Consider the following 12,581-nt stretch of genomic DNA (forward strand, 5'->3'; position numbering starts at 1 on the left):
GGCATGAGCCACCACGCCCAGCCAAAAAAAAAAATTTTTTTTTAAGTCTCCTCTGTGAAGCCTCCCCTGGTCATCTAAAATTTAATCCCTTTCCCCAGGCAATTCATATCCCCCTTCCCAACTTAATTTTTTCTTCTTAGCAGTTATCACTAGCATACCATTTATTTTATTTCTCTTTTTTTTTTTGTGAGACAGGGTCTCACTCTGTTGCCCAGGCTGGAGTGCAGTGGTGCAATCGTGGCTCACTGCAACCTCCATCTCCTGGGATCCAGCGATCCTCCCACCTCAGCCTCCTGAAAAGCAGGGACTGCAGGTATGTGCCATGCCTGGCTAATTTTTTTAATTTTTAATTTTTTATAGAGATGAGGTCTTACTATGTTGCCCAGGCTGGTCTTGACCTCCTGGCCTCAAGTGATCCTCCCACCTTGGCTTCCCAAAGTACTGGGATTACACACATGAGCCACCATGCCTGGTCTTATTTATTTATTTTGTTTGTTTGTTTTTGGGTTTTCCTTGAGACAGGGTCACACTCAGTCACCCAGACAAAAATGCAGTGGCTTGATCACAGCTCACTGCAGCCTCAAACCCCTGGCTTCAAGGGATCCTCCCACCTCAGCCTCCGGAGTAGCTGGGACCACAGGCATGTACCACAAAGCCTGGCTAATTTTTTGATTTTTTGTAGAGACAGAATTTCACTCTATTGCCCAGGCTGAACTTGACCTCCTGGGCTCAAGTGATCCTCCCACCTGGGCCTCCCAAAGTGCTGGGATCCCAGGTATGAACCACCATGCACAGTTTATTTATCTTTATTGTCTCCCCAATTAGACTGCAAGTTCCACAAAGGTAGAGCTTTTTGTCTGTTTTATCTTTTCATCTCCAACATTCAGAAAAGTGCCTGGCACAGAATAAGTGCTCAATGATGATTTTTTGAATAAATGAATGGTGTCCAAACTTGTCAGGACGAACATGTTGACTTTATTTTAGTGCTTTTAAGGATTTCCTTTGAAAACTTAGCCAGTGCAACTCAGCCAGTGCAGCTGGAGTGAGTCCGTGGTATCAGTGTTGAAACCAGGGGGAGCTTGGCTGGCATGGCTGCTCCAGGGCCAAGGAGAAGGCCACACAATTGGGAGATTGAGTCTATTTACAGGGGCTTGAACAAATAAATACATATATTAAGGAAATGGGAGCTAGGTTTCTCACTACTGGAGTAGGGAGGTACATATGTGGAAGGTGTAAAGTGAATAAACACTATGGTGATGGATTGGAATTGGGAAATGTGGTGTGAGTGTGTGTGTGTGTGTAGTCATGCATGTGTTTCCTAACTCTGTCCACAGAGAGGGTCTAGAAGCAATGACACTACAGTAACAACTCTGAGTATACCTCCATATTAAACAGCAGAGACTCAGATGACAGATACTTCACTAAAGAGAAGCTCCTGTATAAATTTTAAACCTAAAATAGAATGCTAGCGTAACGGAACTGAAGGGACTCTCATGGAAAACCTACAGTGCCTTCTAATCTTACAGGAATGAAAAGCTCATCTTGAGACATTAAACAAGAAGAAAAATTACTCATACTTTATCATTACAGACTATATCCCTTTAGACTATATTTACGGATATTTATGGAAATGATTTGTAGAAGTGCTACACATACTATTCTGCAATATGCTTTTTTCACTTAAGACTTGTAACATCTTTCTATGTCATATCCTTTATGACTTTTTTTTTTTGGTTAGTGACAAAAACCAAAATCAAATCAAACTGGTTTAAGAAAAAGAGTGAAAAGTCCAGGTGCTTTCTTTTTGGTAGGCATTGTTCAAGGGACCTCTTTCCCACAACTCCAAGCTATCCTTTGTATCAACTCTAGCAGATGAAAAAGAACTTCCCTCTCCCAATCTTTTGCACAAAAAGTCCTGGGATCAAAACGCACTGGTCTAACATAGGTCAGGTGCCCATCTTGGAACCCATCACTGAGCCAGGAGTCAGGAGATGCTGACTCAACAGACATGAATCATGCCGCCCTGAAGTGGGGTAATGGCTAACTCACTTCCTGAAATGAGATGAGGAAGGGTGGTGGTCCCCTCAAAGAAAACTAGGGTCCTGTTGCCTGGAAAAGTGAATGGATTCTGTGCAGAAAAATAACAGAAGTTTACCACATGTGTCATTCAGTATAATTCTACATCATTATTTTGATGGTTTCCACAGTTATCCCATGAAATGGATGAATCTTTAATTTGTTGTAACTCTATCATTGGACATGTAGATTTGTTTCCTGTTTCACAGTGATAAACACCATTGCTATGAACACTCTAATAGCGAAATCTTTATACTCATCTTTATTTCCTTTAGGCAAAATTCCTAGTGGTAGAATTTCTGAGTAGAAGGGTTAGTATTTTTGCCTTTGCTGTGTTTTGTCAAGTTGCGTTACTATATGCTTTCTCTGAACCTTCATAATATTATATACTGTTATTTTTTTAATTACAGAGACTGAACAGTTTACAGATTTTAAAAAGCCTTCATTTAAAAATTGCATTTGGGTTTTTTTTTTTGAATTGTGGTAAATATACATAAGATTTACCATTTTATATAACCTTTTTTTTGGGAGGGGGATGGGGTCTTACTATGCAGCCAGGCTGGTCTCAAATTCGTGGGCTCTAGCAATCTTCCCACTTCATCCTCCAGAGTAGCTGGAACTATAGCTATATGCCACTACACCAGCCTCACTTTAATCATTTTTAAGTGTACTATAGCATTATGTACGTTGCCATTGTTGTAACTATCACTACCATCTCCAGAACTTTTCATCTTCCCAAACTGAAACTCCATACCCATTAAACACTAACTCCCCATTTCCCCCCGCCACTGCTCAGTTCTTGTCAATCACCATTCTACTTTCTGTCTCTACGAATCTGACTGCTCTAGAACCTTATATCATGAAATCATACAGCATTTGTCTAAATTTGCATTTTTATTACTAATAAGTGTAATTTTTCTCATAAATCACTCAGCTATTTGCACTTCCTCTTTGGGGGTTTGTTCTTCTCCTTTGTTTATTTTTCTGTTCGGGAACTTTGTGAACTTTCTTCGTATGCTGTATTAGCTGTGACTCTCATATGTATTGCTAAAAGTTTTCCCTATTTGTTATTTGTCTTTTTACACTGATTATGGTGTTTTTAATTTTTTTTTAATTTAAATTTTTATTTTATTGGGCAGCCTCCTGAGCCAGAGTAGGCCCAGAGAGACTCCTGCAGTTATTTTTTTTTTTTTTAGTTAAAATTTTCATTTTATGGATTCTGTCTTAGTCCTTTTGGGCTATTATAACAAAATACCTTAGACTGGGTTACTTATTTATTTATTGAGACAGGATCTCACTCTGTCACCCAAGCTATAGTGCAGTGGCATGATCATGGCTCACTGGAGCCTTGACCTTCCAGGCTCAATCCATCCTCCCGCCTCAGCCTCCCAGGTAGCTGGGACCACAGGCATGTGCCACCACACTTACCTAATTTTTGTATTTTCTTTAGAGATGGGGTCTCACTATGTTGCCCAGGCTGGTCTCAAACTCCTGAGCTCAAGCAATCCATTTGCCTCGGCCTCCCATCAAGTGCTGAGATTACAGGCGTAAGCCACCATGCCCAGCTAAACTGGGTAATTTATTACTTTATTATTAGTGGTATTATTATTATTGAGACAGAGTCTCGCTCTGTCACCCAGGTTGTAGTGCACTGGCACAATCTCGGCTCACTGCAGCTTCCGCCTCCCGGGCTCAAGCAATTCTCCTGCCTCAGCCTCCTGAGTGGCTGGGATTATAGGTGCCCACCACCATACCCGGCTAATTTTTTTTTTTATTTTAGTAGATATGGGGTTTCAGCATGTTGGCCAGGATGATCTCGAACTCCTGATCTCAGGTGATTCACCTGCCTTGGCCTTCCAAAGTGCTGGGATTACAGGCGTGAGCCACCACGCCCAGCCTAGACTGGGTAGTTTATAAACAATGGAAATGTATTGCACACAGTTCTGGAGGCTGAGCAGCCCAAGGTCAAGTTACCGACAGACTGAGCATCTGGTAAGAGCTTGCCTTCCCTGCTTCAAAGATGACACCTTGTTGAGTTCTCACATAGTGGAAGGGCAAGCTAGCTCCTTTCAGTCTGTTTTATAAGGGTGCTGATCTCCTTCCTGAACACTCTGCCCTCATAACTTAATCATCTCCTAAAGGTCCCACCTCCTTTTTTTTTTTTTTTTTTTTTGAGACAGAGTCTCGCTCTGTCACCCAGGCTGGAGTGCAGTGGCATGATCTCAGCTCTCACTGCAACCTCGACCTCCTGGGTTCAAGCGATTTTTGTGCCTCAGACTCCTGAGTAACTGGGATTATAGGCTTGTGCCACCATGTCCAGCTAATTTTTGTATATTTTAGTAGAGACAGGTTTCACCATGTTAACCAGGCTGGTCTTGAACTACTGACCTCAGGTGATCTGCCTGCCTCGGCCTCCCAAATTGCTGGGATTACAGGCATGAGCCACCGTACCTGGTCAACACCTCTTGATACTATCACATTGGTGATCAAGTATCAACATATGAATTTGGTGGGGGACACATTCAGACCACAGCACTGTCATTGTTGACGTGTTTAGAAAGGCCTTCCCCACTCTTCTATATAAATACATTCTTAAAACTCCTTCTGATATATTTATGGCTTCATTTTTACATTAAATCTCTAAGTTATTATTGATTTTGATATATGGTATAAAGTTGAATTCTAACCATTTTTTAAAAAGTACAATTGGGCGGCCGGGCGCGGTGGCTCATGCCTGTAATCCCAACACTTTGGGAGGCCAAGGCGGGAGGATCACGAGGTCAGGAGATCGAGACCACCCTGGCTAACACGGTGAAACCCCGTCTCTACTAAAAATACAAAAAATTAGCCAGGCGTGGTGGCGGGCGCCTGAAGTCCCAGCTACTTGGGAGGCTGAGGCAGGAGAATGGCCTGAACCCAGGAGGCGGAGCTTGCAGTGAGCCGAGATTGCACCATTGCACTCCAGCTGGGTAACAGAGCGAGACTCCGTCTCAAAAAAAAAAAAAAAAAAGGTACAATTGAGCTGGGTGTGGTGGCTCACACCTATAATCCCAGCACTTTGGGAGACCGGGGCAGGCAGATAGCTTGGGCCTAGGAGTTCAAGACCAGCCTGGGCAACACAGTAAAATCCTGTCTGTACAAAAGATACAAAAATTAGCCAGGTGTGGTGGTGTGCACCTGTTGTCCCAGCTACTAGGGAGGCTAAGGTGGGAGGATTGATTGAGCCTGGGAGGCAGAGGCTGCAGTGAGCCAAGGTCATGCAACTGCACTCCAGCCTGGGTGGCAGAGTGAAAACCTGTCTTAAAAAAAAAAATGGCCATTGAACAATGCAGGGGTTGGGGTCCCTACACTCCATGCAGTCGAAAATCCATGCATAATGTTTGACTCCCCCAAAACTTAACTCCTAATAGCCTGTTATTGACCAGAGCCTTACTGATAACATAAACAGTCAACTAACACATATTTTGTATATGTATCATATACTGTATTCTTAAGATAGAAAAAAGAAAATGTCATTAAGAAAACCTTTTTATGTTTTTGTTTTTAAGACGGTCTTGCTCTGTCACCCAGGATGCAGTGCAGTGGCTCAGTCATGGCTCACTGCAGCCTTGACCTCCTGGGCTCAAGCAATCCTCCCACCTCAGCCTCCAGAGAAGCTGAAACCACGGGCACGTGCCACCATGCCTGGCTATTTTTTTTTTTTTTTGGTAGAGATGGGAGATCTCACTATGTTACCTAGGCTAGTCTCGAACTCCTGGGCTCAAGCAATCCTCTTGCCTCGGCCTTCCAAAGTGCTGGGATTACAGATGTGAGCCACTGTGCCCAGCTATGAAAATCTTAAGAGAAAATGCATGTACAGTATTTTACTGTATTCATCAAACCAAGTTCACATTGTCTGTTTACAAGATGAATCATCTGTCTGAAATGGTCAGCGCCTGTGGCTGCAGACCTCAATCGAAGGTTCATATCAAGGAGTTCAGCTTTTTCTTGTGATATCATGACTTTTATCTGCTTCTTGAGTGCACTTCAGGCATCACTAATGGCACTTTGTATGGGTCCCATGGTGTTATTCAAGGTTTACAGTATTGCACTTGTCAACTGAAGAACGATGGAGGTTCATACATTTGGAAAGGAGAGCTTTCTTATAAAGGGTTGCAGCTTGCAGGGTGGCCATTCTGACAGGCTGGAAAGAACAGCCTCCAGCCAGAAGCCAAAAACAGACACTTTGACAGGGGGAAGAGTATGACAGAGATTTGCTGAAGCAGGTGGCCAAATATACATACTTAATAAGCTATAGGAGGAGTTATGATTATTTATGAAAGGAGAAACACACACATGCACAATAGAGCTTCATGCTTCTCCATGGGACCCATGTTCAAAAAGTGGCAGTGTTAGCACCCTCCATCCAAGGGTGGAGTTTTTGGCCCTCTGATTTCAAGTGGTGAAGCAGACAACACGAAAACCTCTCTGCTCATCCTTGGTAGACTGGCCAGAGCCACTCTGTGGACCCTGGTCTCTTATGAGGAAGGAAAGCTTTGTCCAAACTGCCAAATGGAAGGGCAGCGACAGGTGGTTGGTGGCTATCAGCAGTGGAGCAAGTCTCTCAGAAGGGCTGGCTTCTCTGTAACCCTTAAGGAAGAAAACCTAAGAGCAGTTAGAGCAGGAGCAGGTGTAATGAGGCCCCCATCTCGTCACAGCTGGAACTGAGTTTTGGCCGAGAAAGGAGTCTGTTTAGTTGGTTGGGGGGCTTAGGATTTCATTTTTCTCACACTAAACACACACAAAAAATGCAAGAACTGAGAGAAATTAGTTTTTACTTCAATGGAATTTACTGGAGAGATGAACTGGGCAAGTGGAGATGACCGACGAGCGTCACACAACGTTTTGGGTGGATACTCACAACACTGGAGCCCACCACGACAACAACGAGAGGCAGCTGCAAAATTATTCCAGCAGTACAGTGTGTACTACAGTGAGTTGTATGCAGTTATGATTTAATACTGCATCTTCACATTTGTTTCCATTTCTCTGGACTGCAAATGGCGCCATGTGTAGTCTGATGTTTGTGTGTGTAAATTTTGATACATTTTAACATTTTAATAATAGATTTGTGTATATTTTATGGTAGTAAATGATAAAAATAGACAAGTGTCTACATATTTTTATGCGTTGATGACATACCTAACATTTTCTTTTTTCCATATTTCTAGGCTATGTGATTTGTCTGCAAGTTTTTTATAATTGTTGCAAATATCCCCCCAAAATTTCCATATATTTATTGAAAAAAATTCACATATAAGTGGACTCATGCAGTTCAAATTTGTGCTGTTGAAGGGTCAACTGGATTTTTCCAGTTTTCTTGATACTAGTTACTACTCACTGAATAATTCATCTTCTCCTCCTTCCCCCACTCCAACAGTATATAATAGTTTTCTTCTATTTACAATGACAGAATTAACATATTTTTTCCTCCATCTCCCCCTCTCTATCACCTGATTTTAGTAATATTATCTTTCTTCATGTTTACCTCTAATTATTTTACCTCTGTATTATTCCATTTTATACTTATAACTCTACTATTCATTTAATTAGCTTTAAGTAATAACTTTTCACCTCTAGTTATTAAAGATGAGGAATCAGTATACTTTATTTCATATATATAATTTTTAATTGTTTAGAGATGGGGTCTTACTATTTTGCTCAGGCTAGTCTCAAATTCCTGAGCTCAAACAATCCTCCTGCCTCAGCCCCCCAAGTAGCTAGGATTACAGACACACACCATAGTATCCAGCAAACAAACAAAAAAATCAGTATATTTTCATCCTTTTCCATCCATTGCTTTCCACTTTTTATTGCTCTATCATTTCTACATCATCAGGGCTAATAACATTTAAATTCCATCTTTCCACCGTAATCCTCATATTTGTCTTTGTCCTGTGATTTGCATCAAAGCTCACTGCCAATCCCGTCTGCAGTTGTTTCTCCACTCATCTCTTGTTCTACTGAACCTTCTAACATTTCTCAAATGGATTTATGAAAATAATATTCCAAGAGTTCTTTCATCTTCAAACTATTTATCTTTTGTCTTTACACCTGAAAATATTTGGCTCATGTTTTCTTTCCTATGGGATTTTGTAGCCATTTCTCAAAAATCTTCCAGCATTGAAGTTTGCTATGGAAAAAGACAGAGGCTAGCCTTTGGATTACTTCCTTCACATCATGCCAAGGAAGCTCCAGCATTTCAACCTCATTAACTGTAGACCACCAGTGAGTCGAAATTTTTAGTCAACCAACCAAGTAAGCTTTTACAGCCATCTCCAGCTGCATGGACTGACACTTTGAACCTGCAGTCCCTAGTAAAGTGTATCCATAGCAGTGAATTCAGCTGGATCTAGTGTTCTATTCTGTTTTCCTTGGTTTAATACCTTTAGCATCCACTTCCACACATTCACCAGGTTTCCATTCATATATATTAACAAAATATTGCAGTTATTTTGGTGTTATTTCCTCCTGGATCATAGTGTGTACCTGCCCACCTGGAGATGTCAAGATTTGATCCTAGTTATGGGGCTAGTGGCAATAAAGGATGGTTATCATGGGTCTTGAAGAGAATGGGCATCCTCTTCCAAGGTGTCTGCCCCAAGTGACATTATCACAAGGTTTTCAAACAAAGACTAGTCTCTTCAGATACTGGAGAGCAAACAACTTTCATTGGTGAGGCTCTACTGCCTAGCAATTGCCATTCTTCATCCTATGCGTACAAATCCAAAAGAGCTTTGGTGCTTAAGAAGAAAAAAAAGTACCTCTGAATGTCTTATGATATATGAACTTTTATCAAGAAGTAACTTGGAAAAGAAGACTTTTATCTAGAATCCTCGTAGCATTTAGAGAGAATACCACTCTCTTCTGTTGCCCTGGCCATTTGAGCATTCTCAGCAAATAGTATTTTCTGAAAAGATGCTAAATGTATTAAACCTTTGAGTTTAATGATTTGAGTCTCAAATGATGCTAAAGGTATTAAACCTTTGATGCTAAAGGTATTAAACCTTTGAGGCAGATGCTTTTTATCTTGTGATTCTCAATTGAAGGAGCAGTTAAAAAAAAAAAAAAGATGAAGCCGGATGTGGTGGCTCATACCTGTAATCCCAGCACTTTGGGAGGCCAAGGCCAGTGGATCACGAGGTCAGCAGATCGAGACCATCCTAGCCAACATGGTGAAACCCCTTCTCTACAAAAAATAAAAAAATTAGCTGGGCGTGGTGGCGCGCACCTGCAGTCCCTGCTACTTGGAAGGCTGAGGCAGGAGAATCGCTTGAACCTAGGAGGTGGAGGTTTCAGGGAGCCAAGGTCGCACCACTGCACTCCAGCCTGTTGACAGAGCGAGACTCTGTCTTCAATAAATAAATAAAAAACATGAAGTCCTGCAGGCTGCAGGGGGTGCTTTGAAAATGTGTGAGGGTGTCATAGTAACTCTGCTATTAGCATTTAGTGGGCAGAGGCTCAACATGCTAGAGCTCCACATGTGTGGGATAGTCCCACATACTGTCCAATTTTTGAATGTCCTGCCAAATATTCATATGAAGGAAAAATATTTCTTTTTGATTATCTGAGCCCAGACTCTCTCTTGTACATATAGGCACCAAGTATTTTTAGCATAGTTTCAATAAATGAGTTTTCCAAGAAAGTAAAATATCATGTAACACAAGGGAAGGTTGCGTTTTGTTTTAGGTTCTCCATTTTGGAAAATCATCAAGGGCAATAACGTCACTCGTGGTATTTGAGTAGTTGATACTCACCTACTACAACTCAGTCTGTATGTATAACGTTGCACTTACAGTGATTGTTCTCTACCTATATTAATATATTTATTCAGTCCTTATTTCACTAATTATGAAGAAAAGTATCAATATTCAGTTGGATATTTCAAATTAGGTCTTATATCTTTGTCCACAAATGAACAGTTACCAATATTTCCATTTTGTTAACATGTTTTTCTCTCAGGAAGCAATGAAACCATGAAGATTAAGTGACCACTTTACAAAGAAACAGAGCAATAAGTTGGCAGAGATACAGCATCCTGAGAACTTTGAAAGCTGTCTTACTATCATTGGAATGTTTAACAAATTTTTCCTAATCAGAAAGATGGTTTTATTGTTTCTTTCAGAATAGCACAATGATTGAAAAATGTGGTAAGCCACACAATGTTAAGGCAAAATTGATTTTGCCGGCTGTGTAAGAGGTTATTAGTATGAAGATAAAAAGAAATCAAATTGAAATGATTTATCCTATGTCATTGAGCAATGTTACTGTTTCAATAATTGAGATGGCGAAAAAGATTTTGGAAAATTAGGCATGTTATGACTTGCAGGCAAGTCAGTTTCATTACAAATGGATGAAAGCATTCTGCATGATAATTAAATTAATATTTATTACATGCATATGTAATATTCATAAGGATTTTTTTTTTTTTTTTCTGAGATGGAGTCTTGCTCTGTCACTCAGGCTGGAGTGCAGTGGTGCGATCTTGGCTCACTGCAACCTCCACCTCCCAGGTTCAAGTGATTCTCCTGCCTCAGCCTCCTGAGTAGCGGGGATTACAAGTGCCTGCTAATCAAAAATTGCCTGGCTAATTTTTGTATTTTTAGTGGAGATGGGGTTTCATCATGTTGGCCAAGCTGGTCTCGAAATCCTGACCTCATGATCCTCCTACCTCGGCCTCCCAAAGTGCTGGGATTAGAGGCGTGAGCCACCGTGCCCAGCAGGAATTTAAAAATCATAAAGGCCATAATCCCAGCACTTTGGGAGGCCGAGGCAGGCAGATCACCTGAGGTCGGGAGTTTGGGACCAGCCTGGCCAACATGGTGAAACCCCGTCTCTACTAAAAATACCAAAATTAGCCTGGCGTGGTAGTAGGTGCCTGTAAACCCAGCTACTCGGGAGGCTGAGGCAAGAGAATCGCTTGAACCTGGGAGGCAGAGGTTGCAGTGACCTGAGATTGCGCTACCGCACCCCAGCCTGGGTGACAGAGTAAGACCCTGTCTCAAAAAAAAAATCATAAAAGAAAATTTATTTTCAAACATAGTAACAATGGGTATAATAACAAACTCAAAAAAATTATGAAAAAATTATCTTTTAATGTCATTGTTTTGTAACATATGAAACAATAGCCATGCTTGGTGGCAACATGGGTTTATAACCAACTTAAAGTAGCATCAAGTGTTTTCGCAATTCACTGCATTATTCATCAACAATACTTAGTCTTTAAGAATCTTAAAACACTTCAAAATCACTGAGTATTGTCAGTGGCTAATAAACAAGGAATAAAATTGAGTGATTGCTGAAACATAAATTATTTCATAAACTGCAATGAGAATAAAGAAGTTTCAATGCCTTATCCTATACACATAAGTAAAATGGCTCTCCAGAGCATAATGTTTAAAACTATTTTGTTCACTATGAACACCACTGATGTTTTTCTTCCATCACGAAAATTTAAACATAAAAATTAAAATATTTTGAAGTAATCTGACATATATTCCAGATGCATGGGAAAAGTTAATGAGGTTCCTTCTTATACTGCACTCTCATTCAAATGAAAAAATTGTCAATAAACTTACATTATTTAAAATACTTGATTTCCTGAGAATTTTAATAATTTCCATCTTTGTAGCAGTTAGGCAAGGACAGGCTTAATGAGGTCAATTTTGGCCAGGCACGGTGGCTCATGCCTGTAATCCCAGCACTTTGGGAGGCCAAGACAGATGGATCACTTGAGCCCAGGAGTTCAAGACCAGCCTGGACAACATGGTGAGACCCTTTCTCTACAAAAAATACAAAATTAGCTGAGCATGGTGGTGTGTGCCTGTGGTCCCAGCTACTCAGGAGGATGAGGTGGGAGGATCACTTGAGCCCAGGAGGTTGAGGCTGTAGTGAGCTATGATCCCACCACTGCACTCCAGCCTGGGTGACAGAGTGAGACACTGTCTCAACAACAAGAAAAAAATGAAGATGTCAATTTTGAAATATATTGTTCTTATTTGAGTGCTATTTTAAAAGATGTGATGATTAGATTTAAAGATTTAGAGGAACTTTACCAGATTGGGTGACTAATCCATTTGAAACTAAAGTTAAGGATGTTAGCCAAAGAACATGAAGAGTTACTGAACTTCAAAAAATGACCTTGAGAGCTGGGCAGTTGGCCTCAGCTTGTTGTCCCAGATATTCAGTAACTTATTATTTGTAGAGATGAGGTCTTGCCATGTTGCCCAGGCTGGGCTCAAGCAATCCTCCTGCTTCAGCCTCCCAAAGTGCTGAGATTGCAGGTGTGAGCCACTGTGCCTGGCCCATTTTAACCATTTTTAACTGTACAGTTCAGTGGCATTAAGTACATTTGCAATGTTATAGAACCATTACTATCCTTTTTTAAAATTTTATCATTGTTACATTAAAAAAATTGTTTTTTTTAGTGTTTTTAAAATACAGACAGGGTCTGGCCATGTTGCCCA

The 12,581-nt window shown here is 40.8% G+C and overlaps 1 long non-coding RNA gene across 2 annotated transcripts in view; it reads right to left on the reverse strand.

Moving 5' to 3' along the window:
• Positions 1-12,581, reverse strand: part of SLC60A2-DT (SLC60A2 divergent transcript) — a 31,466-nt gene that overhangs the window by 8,908 nt on the left and 9,977 nt on the right. The window lies entirely within an intron of this gene.

Source organism: Homo sapiens, chromosome 6 (genome assembly GCF_000001405.40).
Source record: "Homo sapiens chromosome 6, GRCh38.p14 Primary Assembly".
Classification (NCBI taxonomy): Eukaryota; Metazoa; Chordata; class Mammalia; order Primates; family Hominidae; genus Homo; species Homo sapiens.